This window comes from Homo sapiens, chromosome 19, assembly GCF_000001405.40.
Source record: "Homo sapiens chromosome 19, GRCh38.p14 Primary Assembly".
NCBI lineage: Eukaryota > Metazoa > Chordata > Mammalia > Primates > Hominidae > Homo > Homo sapiens.
Genome location: NC_000019.10, coordinates 54,196,291 through 54,214,151, shown reverse-complemented (window position 1 = coordinate 54,214,151; position 17,861 = coordinate 54,196,291). Strand labels below are relative to the sequence as shown.

The following is a 17,861-nucleotide window of genomic DNA, read 5'->3' as shown; positions in this document are numbered from 1 at the left end:
TAAATTTTTTTGTAGCAATGGGATCTCACGATGTTGCCCAAACTGGCCTCAAACTTGTGGGCTCAAGAGCCTCCCATCTCCGCCTCCCAAAGTGTTGGGATTACAGGCATGAGCCACTGTGCCCAGCTTAAGAGTTTTTAATTGAAAAATAATAATTGTACATATTTATGGAATACAGAATATTTGATTTTATCTACGTGTGTGTGTGTGGTTTTTTTTTTTTTCGAGATGGAGTTTCACTCTTTTTGCCCAGGCAGGAGTGCAATGGTGCAGTCTCGGCTCACTGCAACCTCCGCTTCCCAGGTTCAAGTGGTTCTCCTGCCTCAGCCTCCCAAGTAGCTGGGACTACATGTGTGCACCACTATGCCCAACATATATATATTTACATATATATATATATTTTTTTGAGACGGAGTCTCGCTCCATTCTACCTCAGCCTCCCGAGTAGCTGGGATTACAGACACATGCCACCACGCCTGGCTAAGTTTTATATTTTTAGTAGAGACAGGGTTTTGCCAGGCTGGTCTTGAACTCCTGACCTCTTGATCTGCCTGCCTCCCAAAGTGCTGGGATTATAGGCGTGAGCCACCGCACCCGGCCCAACAAATATATTTTTATTGAGATACAACTCTATTTTGTGGCATTTAGTAAATTCACAATATGGTGTAAGCATCACCTCTATCTCATTCCGAAACATTTTTATCATACCGAGAAGGAAACCGAGTTTACATCAAGCAATCACTCCCACCTAATCCCATGCAACAATTAACCTACTTTCTGCCTCTATCGATTGGCCTTCTTTGAATACCTTTTTTTTTTTTTTTTGAGACAGGGACTCACTCTGTCACCCAGGTTGGAGTGCAGTGGTGTGATCTCGGCTCACTGTAACCTCTGCCTCCCAGGCTCAAGCGATCCTGCCACCTGAGCCTCCCAAGTAGCTGGGATCACAGGCACATGCCACCATGCCGGGTGAATTTTTTGTATTTTTGGTAGAGATGGTATTTCACCATGTTGCCCAGGCTGGTCTCAAACTCCTAAACTCAGGCAATCCACCTGCCTTGGCCTCCCAAAGTGCTGGATTACAGGCAATGAGCCACCACACCCAGGCTGGATACTTCTTATAAATGAAATAACGTCATATGTGACCTTTTTTTCCTGACTGCTTTTATCTAGTATATTATCAAGGTTCACACATGTAGCATGTATGAGTACTTCATTCCTTTCTACGGTTGAATAATATTTTGTTGTAAGGATATACCACACTTTCTCTATTCACCAGCTGATAGACATCGCTACAAAAATAAGTAGTGGCTGTGGAGGTGCACGTCTGTAGTCCCAGCCACTCGGGAGCCTGAGGTGGGAGGATCACCTGAGCCACGATGTCAAGGCTGCAGTGAGCTATGATAGTGCCACTGCACTCCAGCCTGGGCAACAGGCCTCATCTTTTAAGCAAAGAAAAAAGAGGCCGAGCATGGTGGCTCATGCCCGTAATCCCAACACTTTGGGAGGCTGAAGCGGGCGGATCACCTGAGGTCAGGAGTTCAAGACCAGCCTGGCCAACATGGTAAAACTCTGTCTTTACTAAAAAATACAAAATTTAGCTGGATATGGTGGCGCGCATCTGTAATCCCAGCTAACTGGGAGATTGAGGCAGGAGAATCGCTGGCACCTGGGAGGTGGAGGCTGCAGTGAGCTGAGATCACGCCACTGCACTCCAGCCTGGGTGACAGAGCAAGACTCTGTCTCAAAAACAAAAAAAAAAAAAAAGAAAAAGAAAAAAGAGGCCGAGCATGATGGCTCATGCCTGTAATCCTAACACTTTGGGGGGCCAAGGCAAGAGGATGATTTAAGGTCAGGAGTTCGAGAATAGCCTGGCCAACATGGTGAAACTCTGTCTCTACTAAAAATACAAAAATTAGCCAGGCGTGGTTGCACGTGCCTGTAATCCAGCTACTTGGGAGGCTGAAGCAGGACAATCACCTGAACCCAGGAGGTGGAGGTTGTAGTGAGCTGAGGTCACGCCACTGCACTCCAGCCTGGGAAACAGAGCAAGACCATGTCTAAAAAAAAAAAAAAAGGGGGAAAGAAAAGAAAGAAAAAAAGAGTGCTACTCATTAACAGGAAAGTTGGCTGGGCGCGATGGCTCACGCCTGTAATCCCAGCACTTTGGGAGGCCGAGGCGGGTGGATCACGAGGTCAGGAGATCGAGACCATCCTGGCTAGCACGGTGAAACCCCGTCTCTACTAAAAATACAAAAGATTAGCCGGGCGTGGTGGCGGGCGCCTGTAGCCCCAGCTACTCGGGAGGCTGAGGCAGGAGAATGGCGTGAACCCGGGAGGCGGAGCTTGCAGTGAGCCGAGATCGCGCCACTGCACTCCAGCCTGGGCGACAGAGCGAGACTCCGTCTCAAAAAAGAAAGTCAGTGAAGGGACCTGTTTGGGAAAACAAAGCCCAGGCTCGAAGGAAGCTTGTGCTTCCCTCTGTGAGCAAGTTAAGTCTTAGAAACATCTCCCCGAGCCTCCTTCTCCCACGCGGGTCGTCTGTCCTGCGGCAGCCCCACTGGTTCCTCCCATCAACCAAGGCAGAGAGTGGAAAAGCTCCTCACACTCTTCTGCTTCACACACAGTGAACAAATCCAAACCTCTCTGCCCACATCCCTCCTCACCCGGCTCCACCCGTGTCCGCTGGTCCATCCCCACAGTCTAAGCTCAGCTGGGGACCGAGGACGCCCTGTCTGTGCACTGCACCAACCTCCCTCCTGGCCCCCTACTGGCTCCCATCCCTACTCCAGTCCATCCCTCTCATCACTTCCGAGGCCTCTTCTGACCATCTTACCTGGCTGTGACCCTCCACTGCTCAAATTCCCCCAACGGGGCTCCATCTTCCAAAAATAAGATGCACGTTCCTGTACTTCATGTTCAAGCCTGTTGATGACCAAACCTGATACACTTTCCAGCTTCACAGGCTATGGCTCCCCCTCTGCCACACCAAACTCATCACAGTTACCCACCCCCTGCCACACACACACAACCTCAGTTATTAAACACGTGTAAGTCTTCTGACGGCCGCTCCCTGAGCCAATCCGGATGTAGCTGACACCTCTGCAGAGCTGGTAGACTATGACAAAGAGAAGCCCTCCTGCCTCGTTCCACTCCACTGTAAACGTATGTGTGTCATAGGTCATGAGGAGTCCACATAAACCACTTAGAATCCTTATCAGCACATTGCCTAGTGGCTGGGCTCACGCTGGAGTGTGGTTATGGTTAACCATTAGTGAAACCCTCCCATATTGCATTCTGTGCAGTGATGGGCTTGTAAAAACAGACATCTGTTTCCACTGTGCTTTCTAAAGATTCCCCGGTTTTTTTTTTTTTTTTTTGAGATGGAGTCTCACTCTGTCACCTAGGCTGGAGTGCTGTGGCGCGATCTCGGCTCACTGCAACCTCCACCTCCCGGGTTCAAGTGATTCTCCTGCCTCAGCCTCCCGAGTAGCTGGGATTACAGGCGTCCACCACCACACCTGGCTGATTTTTTGTGTCTTTAGTAGAGACGGGGTTTCACCATGTTGGCCAGGCTGGTCTCGAACTCCTGACCTCATAATCCACCCACCTCCGCCTCCCAAAGTGCTGGGATTACAGGTGCAAACCACCGTGCCGGGCCGGATTTTCCATTTTCTTAAACATAGCATCCAATAAATCTTCACGGTGCACAAGTCCCCTGAATGACAAGGTCCCAGCTTCCTTTGGCTCACTCTCAGGTCTGAGAACAGCCCACACTGTTTCTGGTGGAGGACACTCTGCGTGCCACACTCACTGTTCACGTCTTGGTCTCTCCATCCCCCAGAAGGACCCCTCACTCCCATGACAGGTGTACGCTGCTCACCTGCTATGAGCATGTTTTCCTCCTTTCCTACAACTTGTCGAAACCGGAGCAGAATTACCTCCTATCTAAACATGGGTAATGTGTCATTAACCCAGGCTCTGTGAGTCCAGCAGGAATCCTATCAGCTTCACCCACGACTCCCCTCCTCCTGGCAGCATGCCTGGATGTGGTAACCACTGAATAAACATCGCCTGATCGCAAGGCTCATGAAAGAAAAGATGCATTACAGAGCTCAGGACATGGAAGGGGCTTGCCTCTAGAATTAGAACAGTGACTGGGCTGTGTCCTAAGGCCCTGCCCTCTCTGGCCTCAGCCTCATGTGCTAGAACAAGGGTCACCCCTGGATGAGAGTTGGGTGAGGTGGAAGCAGGCAGAGTATGGGGAAGTCAAATTTTGACTCAAATGTGGTCTGAAAGGCCCCCAGAGCCTGCTGTCCCCTCAGCCCCATCCTTCAGGGGGAGCAGAGCGAGGCCCTGGGGAAGGGGCTGTTCCCCTCCTGCAAGGCCACTGGTGAGAACACATGACCTGTAACACAGAGCCCGGGGCTCCTTATACCAGCACACCCATCTGCCCTCCAGGCTCTGTGGCTCAATGGTCTAATTCATCTGCACTGCTGGGGACCGTGACAGGCAGGGCCACAACCCCCACCCTCATTGCCCATCTCCCTGCTGTGTGTCCAGGGAAGCCTTAGGTGGACACGGGGTGGTCAGTGACCCCGACCTCTTGGGCCAGAAGCACAAGGCAGAAGGCATGGAGTTGAGACCGGTGAGAGCTCTCCCTGCAGGCCCCAGCGGGCCCCAGAGAGTACGCATCCCCTAAATACCAGTCGCCTCATCTCAGGGGCGTCCAGGCAGCCCTCAGCCCTCCCTCTCAGCACAGCCGGGATCGCCGGTGCTCTCTGGAGACAGCCTGACCCCTCAGCATCACTCAGAGGCCGGTTTTGACAGCTCTGCATTGACCAGGACAAGGGGCTCCCAGCCCGCCAGCGCCTAGATGGGCAGCACCTCCTGGACGTCCCCCTGGGCCATGCGAGCCACCCCCCTGGGGGCCAGCACAGATGCTGCGGTGGACACAATGCCTCCTGCCCAAGGTCGGTCCCCCGTCGCCCCCACCCAACATCCTGGTTGCAAGTGAGGGGCCCCTACCCAGACCCCATCCCGTTCTCTGCTCTGGACCCTGGGCTCAGGGTCGAGAGAGAGAATGATACAGGGATGTGGTCCAAGGAGATCACCAAGAAAGGGAGAGCAAGAGGCCCGGAGATTAAACAGACCCACGCAGGCCAGGCACTGTGGCTCACACCTGTCATCCTAGCGCTTTGGGAGGCGAGTGGATTGCTTGAGGCCAAGGGTTTTAGATCAGCCGGGGCAACACATTGAGACTCCATCTCTACAAATTCTTGAGATGGAGTCTCCCTCTGTTGCCCCGCTCGCTGCCTCTGTAGACAGAGCCCTGAAGACCCTTTTCCTTTCCAAGCCCGTAGGCTTCTCCCCAGAACCGCATACCTCAACTCCCACTCTCCCCTCCCTCCAGGCTGCCGTGGAGCTCCGCAATTGTGAGCTACACCCAGGTGAGCCACCACCTCTCAGACCAGAGACAACTGCAGTCTCTTCCTCCCAGGGGAGCTCCCAGGAGCCCAGTGAGTACGCTGCCCCGGCCATCCACTAGCCCAGACCCCACGCTCCAAGGAAGGAGACCACAGTGAGCCCAGATGGTGCAGCAGCTGGCCCCATGGACACAAGACCACCGTCATTTCCCAAGTAGCAACGCTGAGGGAAGGAAGGGCCAACCACCTAGCTTGAGTAAGCCGCAATGGACTTCTCCACGTGGTTTACAGTAACTTAGCTGTGTTCCAGAACTGTCCCTGCCCTGACCTCAAACCCTGAAGGCCTCCAGATAAGGACCCAATCAACTACAGCCTGCAGCCTGAGGGGGTTGCACAATTTCAGGTTTCTCACTTCCTCAGAAACCAAACCCCTTCCCAACACAGATGATCAACAAGGCTGAGAAAAGGGAAGCCTGCCAACCTCTTGACCGTGAGTCCACAGAAGCACTGAACGCGGAGAGGAGGAACAGACTTCCCTCAACGCCCCTTCTCCTACGCTAACCCACTTCCCCTACATGTGAAGACAAAACTGGGAACTTGCCCAACATCAACTGCATCACAAGCTTTGAAACTAGCAAGCAAATTCTGTGAAGTGTTCCCCAACAATCACCAACAGTTCACCTTCCCCAGCAACCCGTCAGCCTCTGGTCAGCTCCCGTCCCACCTGTCTCTTGCCTGGCGGGGTCAGGGTCCCAGGGCCAGCAGGCAGGGAAGGCCCCCACCTCCACTCGGCGCCTGCCCTGCCTAGCAATGACCGGCTCCCTCCCACCCCTATATGCAAACACCGGCTTACTTGGAATTTCCTTCTGGTTTTGACACAGTTTTTCCAAAAATACCACTCGTCTCTCCCCTGATGACAGAAGTTTCTGGTAAAGATGTGTGTTCACTACTGTAGAATAGTACTGAGAGGCCAGGGACCACTAGCTGGTAGGCACTCCCAAGTGAGTGAGCCTCCCAGGGAAGGCTGCATGTTTAGAGCAGGGGAAAGAGTCAAGGATGAGAGACCCCCACACACCAATTGTAAAGCGCTGATCCTGTTTATTTGGCAGGAAAACGAGACAATCCAGCAGCCCAGGAGGGACAGGTGGACTTAATCCTCCTCCTCGTCGTCTCCAGCCCCAGCCCCACCCTGGCCCTTCTTGGCATTCTTCCTCTTCACGCGGCCCGGGCGGCCACCCCCGTAGGGAGAGCGCAGAGAGAAGTCGATGTGCTTCTGGGAATCCAGGCGGACAATGAAGGACGGGATGTTCACCACCTGCTTGCGGACCCTGGAAGCAGCGACAAGGTGAGGTGGACTGGAGGAGAAACGGACGCTAACCCCAGCTACCGCACCACTCTTTCCTCTCCACCCACCCCGTGAGGCCGCCACGGCTGCAGACACCAAGGCGCTGCAGGAAGGGTGCACCTGATCCTACGTGCGCCCTCCGGGGTTTTAGGGTATCACCTTAATCCCCAAAAATGCTTCAGATGACTTTCTCAACCCCATTTTATAGGAGAAATCCGAAAGTATCCCACCTAAGACCACAAAGCAAATGAGATGGCCATGTGAGAGCCCCCAAGTTCCGAGTCTGAAATATCGTGAACCCCACACCTGACACTGAGCTGTATTACCACGTGCAGCAGCAATGCCCACAATAACACAGCAACCCGAGGCTACGTCTCCGACGAAAGCATTGACACACAAGGCTCTGCCTACGGCTCACAGGGTTAGTGAAGGGCTGGGGCGAAGATTCTAAACGCAAACATCTTGCCCTCTTTCTGTACAGCTCCTCCCCCTCAATGGTGCCACATTACAGAAAGGGCACACTGAGTACCCAGAACGCAGTCATGGATCGGGGTCTGGAATCAACTTCACAAGCGGGCCAGGAGACAGCTGAACCCACCACCCAAGCGAGGTGAGGCTGGTTCTCTCCCTCCACTGGGGACACCAAGAGCTGTTACCTGTCCAGCTGCCCACATGCCTGGCAGAGGCCTTCACAAGGTGTACGGCTAGAGCCGCAGTGACCCTTGCGCTGGGCTATTGGGGCAAGAGGCTGCCCCAGCTCCCTGGTGAGCTGTGTGCAAGGGTGAATCTGTACCCTCTGGGTGAGTTCACACCCATCACCTCCGAGGGCTGCATAGGAGATAGGGACAGCAGGCTTAGTGAGGGCAACCATCAGAGGGGCAGGTGGAGGAAGATTCAGGTGCCCATCCGAGGTGGTACCTGATATGGCGCTGGCGGATCAGCACGCGAGCGTGGTGGATGGACTTGGCCAAGCCCAGCTTGAAGACCTGGGTCTGCAGGCGTCTCTCTAAGAAATCCTCTATCTTCAGGCCCAGGATGTAATCCAGCTTCATCTTGCCCTCATCCAGCACCCCAATGCGGACCAGCCGCCGCAGCAGGGCGTTGCCTGGGAAGAGTGGGAGGAAACACTGATTCCGCCTTCTGACCTCAGGCTTCTTGGGTTCAAATCCTGGCTCCGCCTCTTGGTAGCTCCATGCCGCGGCGGTGAGGCACAAGTAGTACAGCGCCATCACCGTGACCCATGTCACTGTCAAAACCACCCTACGGGCTGGGAGTGGTGGCTCACACCTGTAATCCCAGCACTTTGGGAGTCCGAGACGGATCACTTGAGGTCAGGAGTTTGAGAGACCAGCCCGGCCAACATGGCGAAAGCCCGTCTCCACTAAGATTACGAAAAATTAGCCAGGCCGTTGGCGCACTGCCTGTAATCCCAGCTATTCAGGAGGCTGAGGAAGGAAAACTGCTTGAACCCAGGAGGCGGAGGTTGCAGTGACCTGAGATGGGGCCACTGCACTCCAGCCTGGGCGACAGAGTGAGGCCCTGTCACAAAACAAAACAATACAAAAAACCAAACTACCCTATGGTTGTCAGGTCATCATTCATAGTAAACTGCAGATGACAGGAGGGCAAAATACACCTGCCTCCTCATCTGAGAGCATACATCCCTCGCTCCACATTCTTAGCAAGAGTAAAGGAAATCACCTCCTTACAAGGACTCAGTCTGCAAAAGACCAAATGCAGCTGCTATTAAGCTACTACCACCGTAACAAAGCACAGTGCTGAAGAGTTCATATCCTCAGCCCAGACAGCTCTTCTGATTAAGCAGATGTGAGATTGAATCACATTCCGTGCCATAAATAGCAGTATCTACATCTTTTAAGGAGAGAAAAGTAATTTCTAACACTAGAATTTTTCCAGCTAGGTACATGTCATTCATTTTACTATTCTGTACAAAATTTTCCACCAAAAATATATCTAGTATGTATATAACCTAACAATGCACTGCATAAAATATCCAACAGATGCCCTACTACACCTTTCTTCCAACCCCAGGCTCAGGACGGCTTGCTCCTTACCCTGTCCAAAGCCATGGCTTCTAGCTAATACTCTGGACTGCCCTTGCCCACAGCCCCAGGGCCCTGGGGGCAAACGCCATCCCCTAGGCTCCCGCTCACTGCTATAATCCCACACGCCTTCAGCAAATCAACTGCCCCTTGACTGGGGTAAACACCTCAACCTTTTTTCCTTATGTGCACTTTTATAAAAAGTGGCTCTTACTAGTTACAGCAAACCATTCAAGCAAGCTTTCATAAATAGATCTACATGCATCAGGCACTTCTGATATTCCTGGCACTGTTACCCTCCAAGCAAAGTTTGAAAGAAAGCTAGCTCACTTTGTGAGGACCCAAAGTTTTCCCAGTAGGGAGCAGTTACAGGTAGGGAGAATCAAAATGGAAACACCAGCTGTGTGCATTTCCAGCATCCTATGTCATACTATGGCTTCAATTTTTGTTCTTTTTTAACTCAACATCAGAGGATATTTAAACACCTGAATATCAAAATACAAAAACATGTCCAAAAGGCAATGAAAATGAGTTTGGGACCATTTACCTCTTTGGACACTTCACGCCTTTTTGTCTTTACATTAGAAAATGGAAACTTAAGCCACGCACAGTCCCTTATGCCTGGCCTATAAACCCAATATTTTGGGAGGCTGAGGCAGGAGGATCAGTTGAGTCCAGAAGTTTGAAACTAGCCTCGGCAACACAGTGAGACCGCATTTGTACCAAAACAAACAAAAAAGTAAAACTAAATTAGCCGGGCATGGTGGTACATGGTGGATTGTGGTCCCAGCTACTAGAGCTGAGGAGGATCACTTAAGCACAGGAGGTCCAGGCTGCAGTGAGCCACGACCATGCCACTGTGCTCCAGCCCGGGAGACAAAGTGAGATCGTCACCATTAGGCAAAACAAAGGCATGATTTTAAAAAAATGTTTCACATTTATTATCATTTTTGAGACAGAGTTTCGCTCTCGTTGCCCAGGCTGGAGTGCAATGGCGTGATCTCGGCTCACTGCAAACTCCGCCTCCTGGGATTCTCCTGCCTCAGCCTGGGATTAAAGGCATGCGCCACCACGCCCCGCTAATTTTGTATTTTTTCAGTAGAGACTAAGGGGTTTCTCCACTTTGGTCAGGCTAGTCTCAAACTCCCGACCTCGGGTGATCCGCCTGCCTCTGCCTCCCAAAGTGCTGGGATTACAGGCATGAGCCACTGCACTCAGGCCCACATTTATTGAACCATCTATCTCCTGAAAAAGAACAGGAGAGTCAGCCACAGGCAAAACCTTTAAGTATGAAGACAATAGTTTTCAACAGCACAATAAACCTTACACCTTCAACAAAAGCATGTCCTACTGCTGAGGCTCCACTGGGCCAATGCACCAAGAGAATTTAAAATGCTTTAAAAATGCAAACCAGGGAGGACCTCAGTGGGAAACAGGTCCTTGTCATCATACAAGGCAGTTAGGTATTACAATGCCTTCATTTCTGATCTGAAAAATGGACATGACTCCTACATTTCTTCACAGTTGTGCTGGGGGGTGGGGGGGGAGTTCGTGTTGTTTTGTGTCTCGCTGTCACCCAGTGCAGTGCCGCGGATCTCGGCTCACTGCAGTCTCTGTCTCCCAGGTTCAATCAATTCTCCTGCCTCAGCCTCCCGAGTAGCTGGGATTATAGGCACACCACCATGCTCGGCTAATTTTTGTATTTTTCGTAGAGATGGAATTTCACCACGTTGGCCAGGCTGGTCTCTGACTTGAGGTCTCCTGACCTCAAGTGATCCGACCACCTCGGTCTCCCAAAGTGCTGGGATTACAGGCATGAGCCACCACGCCTGGCCTCTATCTGTTGATTATTAACTGCCAGCCAAATGTTGGCGGCTGTTCAGTCTTAACAGACGAGACTCAGAATCTCGCTAGTCACACATCTTAGTGGGAAAGGCAGGATCTGAATCAAGGCAGGATTACACCAAAGAGCAAACATCCAAGCTCCTCCTTCCTGTCCCTGACTAGGCTAGATGGCTTCATTTACTAGAAAGTGTACTCACCTGAACAACTGTGTACCCCTTGGGAATTTTCACTTCTGCCTTGGAAAACCACAAATAACCCTCAGACACCTGCACCGCTTTCTCACATGACTGTAAGTTTCATTGCAATTAGGATCTATGTCCAGAAAGTCCTCCCTAAAACCAGAACCAGCTATAGCCCACTCCCCACAGAACCCTGGGATGAATTCCCACCCAGCATCAGTATCTATGGGGGAGGGATCTCCAGCACTTTCATGAGATTATCAACGGGGTCTACAAATTGACGAAAAGAATGAAAGGGTCAGGTGCGGTGGCTTACACCTGTAACCCCAGCACTTTGGAAAGCTGAGGTGGATGGATCACTTGAGGTTAGGAGTTGGAAACCATCCTGGTCAACACTGCAAGATCCTGTGCCTATTTAAAGAAAAAGCTTCTAACATCTGCAAGCCTGGGACAAACTGTGATAATCTGTAGCTAAACATGCGCCAGGACTTTCTCAACGCCTAACATGGATGACCACTCTCATGCCTAACAGTCAGGGCTCAGGTGTAGAGACTGCTTTTCACCATAAATCATGACTACCCAAACTCAGGCAAAAGCAGCGTCTCAGGATATACAAATGCCAATCTTGGTCATGCCAATCTGCTGTAGAAAGCACTCCAATAACACCGCATCTCAGAGTAGATTTTAAAACAAGATGGTTAAGATGGTACATTTTCAATTTAATGTGTATTTCACCACAATTAGTAAAGTAAGCCTAAGTCTATGTGATCTGCATGCCCTCCTAAAGTCATCACCTGAAATGCTGTTCCCTGAGACATTTTACAGGTTCTCTCCTGTTCAGGCCTTTGCTAAATACCACCTAAATGTCCTTGACCAGCTTAAAAAAACAAGCACCAGCCTGGACAACATGGTGAAAACCCATCTCCACTAATAATAGAAAATTAGCCAGGCTTGGTGGCCCATGCCTGTGATTCCAGCTACTTAGGAGGCTAAGACAGGAGAATCGCTTGAACTCTGGAGGCGGAGTTTGCAGTGAGCCAAGATTGCGACAACTACACTCCAGCATGGGCAATGGAGCGAGACTCCGTCTCAAAAGTAAAATTAGCCAGGTGTGGTGGCGTGCGCCTGTCTGTAGTCCCAGCTACTTGGGAGGCTAAGATAGGAGAATTGTTTGAACCCAGGAGGCGGGGGTTGCAGTAAGCCGAAATGGCGCCACGGCACTCCAGCCTGGGCAACAGAGCAAGACTCCGTCTCAAAAGACTAAATAAAACGAGAAAACTTAATTAAAAAAACAATAAACCAAGCAAATGTGCAAACCCTGTTATCACCATCACTTAGCCCAGAAATTCCACTTCATAGTCTACTCTCATCCACTAGCAAACAGGCCACATAAACAGAATATAAAGATATAGACGGGTGCCCAGGTGTGCCAGGCCTATCTTTAGCTCTGGTCATTACTAAACTGAAGGTCCAATAACTGGGCAAAAAAGCCACACACCTAAGAAACAGGGCAAAGACTGATCCAGATACACTTTTCCTACTCCACAAGTGCCACTAAAAGTTAGAAGGCTGGTTCCATTTATCCAATGACACAACTCTCATCACTGGAACAGAGGCAACAGAAGGGAGAATGAACCTCACAAGCCCTGCACCCCATCCCTCTGCTGTGGACTCCCATACGCACCTTCGAACAGACGCCGTGGGTCCTTCTCATCAAGCGTCAGCAGTTCCCGGGCGGCCTTGCGGATCTTGGCCAGGGTAAATTTGACCCTCCAGACCTCACGTTTGTTCCGGAGCCCATACTCGCCTGGTGGGGAGAAGGGGGTGGACAAGTGTAGTCCCACGTACTGGCACAACAACTAGACTGGCAGCTTTGGAATCACAAAACCTTCCTAAACCACGAATAGTACCAAATTTAGGGGACGGACTAGATAGAGTACATGGGCACCTTCATCCACGTGCTAACCGCCTCCCGGAAGCCGAACCACTTCCCGGAAGCCTTGGCCACTCACCGATCAGCTTCAGCTCTTGGTCGAGACGAGATTTCTCGAAGGGTCTCCGCGGGGTCACATAAGTTTTGCGACAAACCCAGCTCCGGGCCACTGGCATGTTGGCTCCGCTTCCCCGTCTGCGCCTGCGCGGGAGAGAAGTGTGAGCGTAAGGGATCCAAACGGCGCCTGCGCAGTCCCACAACTACGCCAAAACCTCGCGGAGCCCAGATCCGATCTCGCGAGAATAACCTCCAACGCTCTCATAGTCAGTATCTGCCCCCACAACCGTGCTGCACTCCCGTTCAACCACCCTGCTCTGTTTCCTAACGTCTTTAGCTTACTCATGGAAACTCGGAAGGCCCGGGCCACCATCCAACCCAAACCCTAGAGAAAAAGCACACCACCGCACCTCACCTAAGCAAACCACCCGGTCACTGAGAAAGAGGCGCGGAAGCGCCACGGCTGCGCTCTTATAGTAACGCCGGCGTCTCGTGACGTTTTCACGCACCACGCACGTCAGAGCCAATCAGAAGAGGCGTTGGCTGGCTGAGAAGCAGTGGAGACGTGAGGCTGGGCTAGAGCGGCGTGCTAACCTGGGAGGACTAGGTTTTTTCCGGCCAGGGAGTGGAAACCTGAGAAGTAGGGAGAACCTTCCTTCTCCGCCCCTGGACGGTGGTTTTTCTTTTTCTTTCTGAGACAGGGTCTCGCTCCGTCGCCCAGGCTGGAGTGCAGTGGCGTGATTTCGGCTCACTGAGGCCCCGACCAACCTCTCGGGCTCGAGCGATCCTCCCACCTCCTCCCCAGTAGCTGGGATTACAGGCACACGCCACGACGCCCGGGTAGCATTTTTTTTTTTTAACAGTCGGCGTCTTGCCATGTTGCCCAGGCTGGTCTTGAACTCCCGGCCTCGAGAGAGCCTCCCGCCGTGGCCCCCCCAAAGTGCTGGGATTACAGGCGTGAGCCACCGCGCCCAGCCGAGATTATTTCTGTCACTAACAATAATGTGGCATTCTGGAACGCTATGTGCCACATACTGTTCTAAGAATTTTAAATGTATTTACTCAATCTTCAATACATACTTACAGAGCACTCTCAGAGAAGTTGCCCCCCCACCCATGGTACTATTATTATCAATAGCCACTTAAGGGGTATTAGTACTATTATCAGTAATTTATTTTATTTTTGAGACGGAGTTTTTCGCTCTCGTCACCCAGGCTGGAGTGCAGTGGTGCGATCTCGGCTCACTGCAACCTCCGCTTCCCGGGTTCAATCGATTCTCGTGCCTCAGCCTCCCGAGAAGCTGGGACTACAGGCGCCCACCACCATGCCCGGCTAATTTTTAAATTTTTAGTAGAGACGGGGTTTTGAACTCCTGGTCTCCAACGCCTGACCTCAAGTGATCCACCCGCCTCAGCCTCCCAAAGTGCTAAGATTACAGGTGTGAGCCACCGCGCCTGACCTAGAGTTCTCTTTTTATATATAGTCTGGTTATTGTCTGTCTGTACACCCATCTCTCCACTCCGAATGCGATGGTCTGTCTCCACAGCTCGTGTTCTTCAGTTGTCTTCCCTACGCTGCTGCCTCGGCAGTCACTATCTCCTCAGGAAGCAGTCCCACCCGCCCCTTTCTCTTCCACGGCATCCACACCATCCGGATGCCTGGATTCAAATGCCACGTCACCACTTGCCAGCTGCAGTGCCTTCGACAAGTTTCTCAATCACTCTGTGCCTCAGCGTCCTCCTCTGTAAAACGGCGAATGATGGTAGCGCCTACCTCATAAGCTTGTGAGGATTAAGTGAGAGTCTATCCAGTGTTGAGGAGAGTGGCATAAATAAAGCGCCTAGTGGTAGCTACCATCGTCATTATTGTCATCTGCATTGTACTTCCATATCTTACAAACTACCTTGTTCAGTTTTATGGGTTTTTTGTTTGTTTGTTTTGTTGTTTTGAGACGGGGTTTTGCCATATTGCCCAGGCTGGTCTTGAACTCCTGGGCTCAAGTGATCCACTCGCCTCAGCCTCCCCAAGTGCTGGGATTACAGGTGTAAGCCACCATGCCTGGCCAAATTTTATGCATTTTTGTATCTTGAACACGCGTATATTATTCATCTGGAAGGGGGAAACGTGGAAGGAAAAAACTTCCATAAGTTTTCACTCCCTTCAGGATGAAGTCCAAGCTCCACAAATTCCGGGTGCCTCGTGATTACAGAGATGGTTTTATAATGGTGGTTGAACCTGTAGGTTCTCAAGTCTTAAAAAAGATCTGCGTTTGAACCTCAGCAGTCACTGACGAGCTCTTGATCTTAGGCAAATTAGCCTCTTCAAGAGTGCTAAATGGGAGAAAGTAACAGGACTTTCCTCATAGGGTTTGATGATTTAGAGTAAAAAAAAAAAAAAAAGAAAAGAAAACCAGCACAGAGTCTTGTGTACTGAAGGTGCTTAATATCTTAACACAGCTGACTCTGTACAGTCTGGGGGCGAGGGGCACTGACCCCCAGCTCAGCCGAAAACCTCCATATAGGCTGGGCGCGGTGCCTCACGCCTGTAATCCCAGCACTATGTGGAAGGCCAAGGCCGGCGGATCAACTGAGGTCAGGAGTTCGAGACCAGCCTGGCCAACATGACAAAACCTGGTCTCTACTAAAAATACAAAAATTAGGCAGGCGTGGTGGCAGGTGCCTGTAATCCCAGCTACTTAGGAGGTTGAGGCAAGAGCATCACTTGAACCCAGGACGTGGAGATTGCAGTGAGCCGAGATCGCACCACTGCACTCCATCCTGGGCGACAGAGCAAGACTGCCTCAAAAAAAAAAAAAAAAATCAAGAAAGAAAATCTGCATATAACTTTTGACTTCCCCAAAACTTAACTACTAGGCCAGGCACCGTGGCTCACACCTGTAACCCCAGGTGGGATTTGGGAAGCTGAGGTGGGCAGAGCACTTGAGCCCAGGAGTTCAAGACCAGCCTGGGCAACACGGCAAAACCCAGACTCTACAGAAAACAGAAAAATTAACTGGGTGTGGTGGTGTGTGCCCGTAGTTCCAGCTACTTGGGAGGCTGTGGTGGGAGGACTGCTTGAGTCAAGGAGGTTGAGGCAGCAGCGAACTAAGATCATGCCCCTGCACCCCAGCCCAGCTGGCAGAGCAAGACACTGTCTCAGGATTTAAAAAAAACATTACTCGTAGTTGACTGGAAGCCTTACCAATAACATAGTCAATTAACACATATTTTATATGCTATATGTATTATATTCTGTATTCCTATGATGAATTAAGCTAGAGAAAAGAAAATATTGGCCGGGCGTGATGGCTCATGCCTGTTACCCCAGCACTTTGGGAGGCTAAGGCGGGCGGATCACCAGGTCAGGAGATCGAGACCATCCTGGCTAACACGGTGAAACCCCATCTCTACTAAAAATACAAAAAATTAGCCGGGCGTGGTGGCAGGCACCTGTAGTCCCAGCTACCGGGGAGGCTGAGGCAGGAGAATGGCGTGAACCCGGGAGGCGGAGCTTGCAGTGAGCTAAGATCGCGCCACTGCACTCCAGCTTGGGTGACAGAGCGAGACTTCGTCTCAAAAAAAAAAAAAAAGAAAATATTAAGAAAATTCTAAAAAAGAGAAAATATATTTACTATTCATTAAGTGGAAGTGGATCATCATAAAGGTCTTCATCCTTGTCTTCATTCTGAGTAGGCAGAGGTGCAGAAAGAAGAGGAGGGTTTGGTCTTGCTGTCTCAGGGTGCCAGAGGTGGAGGAGGTAAAAGGCAAAGCAGGAGAGGCAGGCATGCTCTGTGTAACCTTTACTTTTTTCAATCTGCATAAAAGTGGACCCGAGCAGTTCAGACCCATGTTGCTCAAGGGTCAACTGATGAGATCTGGCCTCACCCTGATCCTCTTCAGAAGCATGGTCCAGTCATATGGCACCAGGCCCTCTTCCACAAACCCCTCATGCTTCCTCCTCTCTCTCTCTCACTCAGGCTGGAGCCCTCTAGCCCTTCCTCTCTGAAAGGAGCACGGGTAATATAAGAGGAACCCTTGGTTTCCATCATGGGTTGCCAAGGACCAGCTGGGCATGCTTGGGGAGCTGAATTCCTTTCCTTTTGTACAAGTGTAATAAAATCTAATTATGCCCCATCCATAGGACGCAAAACCATGTAGCTGTTGGCAAAAATGAGACAAGCCTGGGCATATCCAATAAGCAAGATGCAGAAGTGTGCATAGTATGCTACAATTTTCATTAATAAAAATGACCTTAACGTATGTATATTTATTTAAAATATGCTTAGAAAGTCATGTAGGAGAAATTATAATTTCCAAATTGTCTCAGCCCTGATTTAAAAATTATAGTTTAAGCCACTCATTTATTTAGCAACAATGTATTGACTGCTGTGTGCCAGGAACTGTTCTTGGACCTGGGGATACTGCATGAACAAGGGTAAATAAAAGAAAAACCAAAACCAAAACCTTGTCCTTAACTAGAAACAAATGCCAATCACCTGATGAATGGATAAATAAAATGGGGTTATGTCCATACAATGGAATATCCAGCAGTAAAGAGGAACAAAGCTGGCCGGGCACGGTGGCTCATGTCTATAATCCTAGCACTTTGGGAGGCTGAGGTGGGCGGATTGCCTGAGCTCAGGAGTTCGAGCCTGGGCAATTATGGTGAAACCCTGTCTCTACTAAAATACAAAAAATTAGCCTGACGTGGTGGCAGGCGCCTGTAATCCCAGGTACTTGGGAGGCTGAGGTGGGAGAATCGCTTGAACCCACTTGAACCCAGGAGGCAGAGGCTGCAGTGGGCCGAGATTGTGCCACTGCACTCCAGCCTGGGCAACAGAGCAAGACTCTGTCTCAAAAATAAAAAAAATAAATAATAATAATAATAATAAGCAAGGAAGAGAATGCACATGGCCAGTTCATGAGGAAGCTGCAAAGTAGGACCTTTGAGTTTTACTCTGAGATGGAAAACTCCAGGAAAGTTTTAGACAGAGCTGTGACATGGTCTGACTT

General features: G+C 50.7%; 1 protein-coding gene across 9 annotated transcripts, besides 9 other annotated features; it reads right to left on the bottom strand.

Annotated features, from left to right (window-relative positions):
* Window positions 5,371-5,631: a transcriptional cis regulatory region, noted in NCBI's record as "silencer region targeted for CRISPR/Cas9 deletion". NCBI's record gives its function as "negatively regulates PRPF31 gene expression in K562 erythroleukemia cells {active_cell/tissue: K562}" and the evidence as "EXISTENCE:knockout evidence [ECO:0001091][PMID:32094911]".
* Window positions 5,395-5,570: a silencer, noted in NCBI's record as "fragment chr19:54712450-54712625 (GRCh37/hg19 assembly coordinates)". NCBI's record gives its function as "represses an EF-1alpha promoter that drives an FKBP-Casp9 reporter gene in an ReSE screen in K562 erythroleukemia cells {active_cell/tissue: K562}" and the evidence as "EXISTENCE:reporter gene assay evidence [ECO:0000049][PMID:32094911]".
* Window positions 6,017-6,200: a silencer, noted in NCBI's record as "fragment chr19:54711820-54712003 (GRCh37/hg19 assembly coordinates)". NCBI's record gives its function as "represses an EF-1alpha promoter that drives an FKBP-Casp9 reporter gene in an ReSE screen in HepG2 liver carcinoma cells {active_cell/tissue: HepG2}" and the evidence as "EXISTENCE:reporter gene assay evidence [ECO:0000049][PMID:32094911]".
* Window positions 6,296-6,802: an enhancer, noted in NCBI's record as "H3K4me1 hESC enhancer chr19:54711218-54711724 (GRCh37/hg19 assembly coordinates)". NCBI's record gives its function as "activates a minimal SCP1, AML or CMV promoter by ChIP-STARR-seq in naive H9 embryonic stem cells {active_cell/tissue: H9 hESC(naive)}" and the evidence as "EXISTENCE:reporter gene assay evidence [ECO:0000049][PMID:30033119]".
* RPS9 (ribosomal protein S9) lies at window positions 6,505-13,294 on the bottom strand. 9 transcript variants are annotated; one of them, NR_135762.2, is made up of 6 exons: window positions 13,259-13,294; window positions 12,871-12,992; window positions 12,543-12,665; window positions 7,690-7,876; window positions 7,428-7,599; window positions 6,505-6,754 (listed from the first exon to the last, which is right to left on the bottom strand). NR_135762.2 is itself a non-coding variant. In NM_001321702.2 (5 exons), exons 2-5 carry the CDS (start codon window positions 12,965-12,967, stop codon window positions 6,577-6,579), a joined length of 585 nt encoding a protein of 194 aa, NP_001308631.1. In that variant the 5' UTR covers window positions 12,968-12,992; window positions 13,191-13,294; the 3' UTR covers window positions 6,505-6,576. The 9 variants fall into 9 exon arrangements, 7 of the variants coding, with proteins under 7 accessions (NP_001308631.1, NP_001308630.1, NP_001004.2 ...); NR_135763.2 differs by having other exon boundaries at window positions 13,264-13,294; NM_001321702.2 differs by lacking the exon at window positions 7,428-7,599 and having other exon boundaries at window positions 13,191-13,294.
* Window positions 6,803-7,310: an enhancer, noted in NCBI's record as "H3K4me1 hESC enhancer chr19:54710710-54711217 (GRCh37/hg19 assembly coordinates)". NCBI's record gives its function as "activates a minimal SCP1, AML or CMV promoter by ChIP-STARR-seq in naive H9 embryonic stem cells {active_cell/tissue: H9 hESC(naive)}" and the evidence as "EXISTENCE:reporter gene assay evidence [ECO:0000049][PMID:30033119]".
* Window positions 7,818-8,326: an enhancer, noted in NCBI's record as "H3K4me1 hESC enhancer chr19:54709694-54710202 (GRCh37/hg19 assembly coordinates)". NCBI's record gives its function as "activates a minimal SCP1, AML or CMV promoter by ChIP-STARR-seq in primed H9 embryonic stem cells {active_cell/tissue: H9 hESC(primed)}" and the evidence as "EXISTENCE:reporter gene assay evidence [ECO:0000049][PMID:30033119]".
* Window positions 12,981-13,474: a silencer, noted in NCBI's record as "fragment chr19:54704546-54705039 (GRCh37/hg19 assembly coordinates)". NCBI's record gives its function as "represses an EF-1alpha promoter that drives an FKBP-Casp9 reporter gene in an ReSE screen in phorbol 12-myristate 13-acetate-treated (for megakaryocytic differentiation) K562 erythroleukemia cells {active_cell/tissue: K562(+PMA)}" and the evidence as "EXISTENCE:reporter gene assay evidence [ECO:0000049][PMID:32094911]".
* Window positions 12,981-13,906: a biological region, named in NCBI's record as "NANOG-H3K27ac-H3K4me1 hESC enhancer GRCh37_chr19:54704113-54704783".
* Window positions 13,237-13,906: an enhancer, noted in NCBI's record as "NANOG-H3K27ac-H3K4me1 hESC enhancer chr19:54704113-54704783 (GRCh37/hg19 assembly coordinates)". NCBI's record gives its function as "activates a minimal SCP1, AML or CMV promoter by ChIP-STARR-seq in primed H9 embryonic stem cells {active_cell/tissue: H9 hESC(primed)}" and the evidence as "EXISTENCE:reporter gene assay evidence [ECO:0000049][PMID:30033119]".

Excerpts from the sequence above, each read along its gene's own strand:
- RPS9 (NM_001321702.2), bottom strand. The coding sequence starts at position 12,967 with ATGCCAGTGGCCCGGAGCTGGGTTTGTCGCAAAACTTATGTGACCCCG. Across the intron at positions 12,666-12,870 it reads CCAAGAGCTGAAGCTGATCG|GCGAGTATGGGCTCCGGAAC; the intron begins GTGAGTGGCCAA and ends TCTCCCCACCAG. Across the intron at positions 7,877-12,542 it reads CCCACGGCGTCTGTTCGAAG|GCAACGCCCTGCTGCGGCGG; the intron begins GTGCGTATGGGA and ends CACTCTTCCCAG.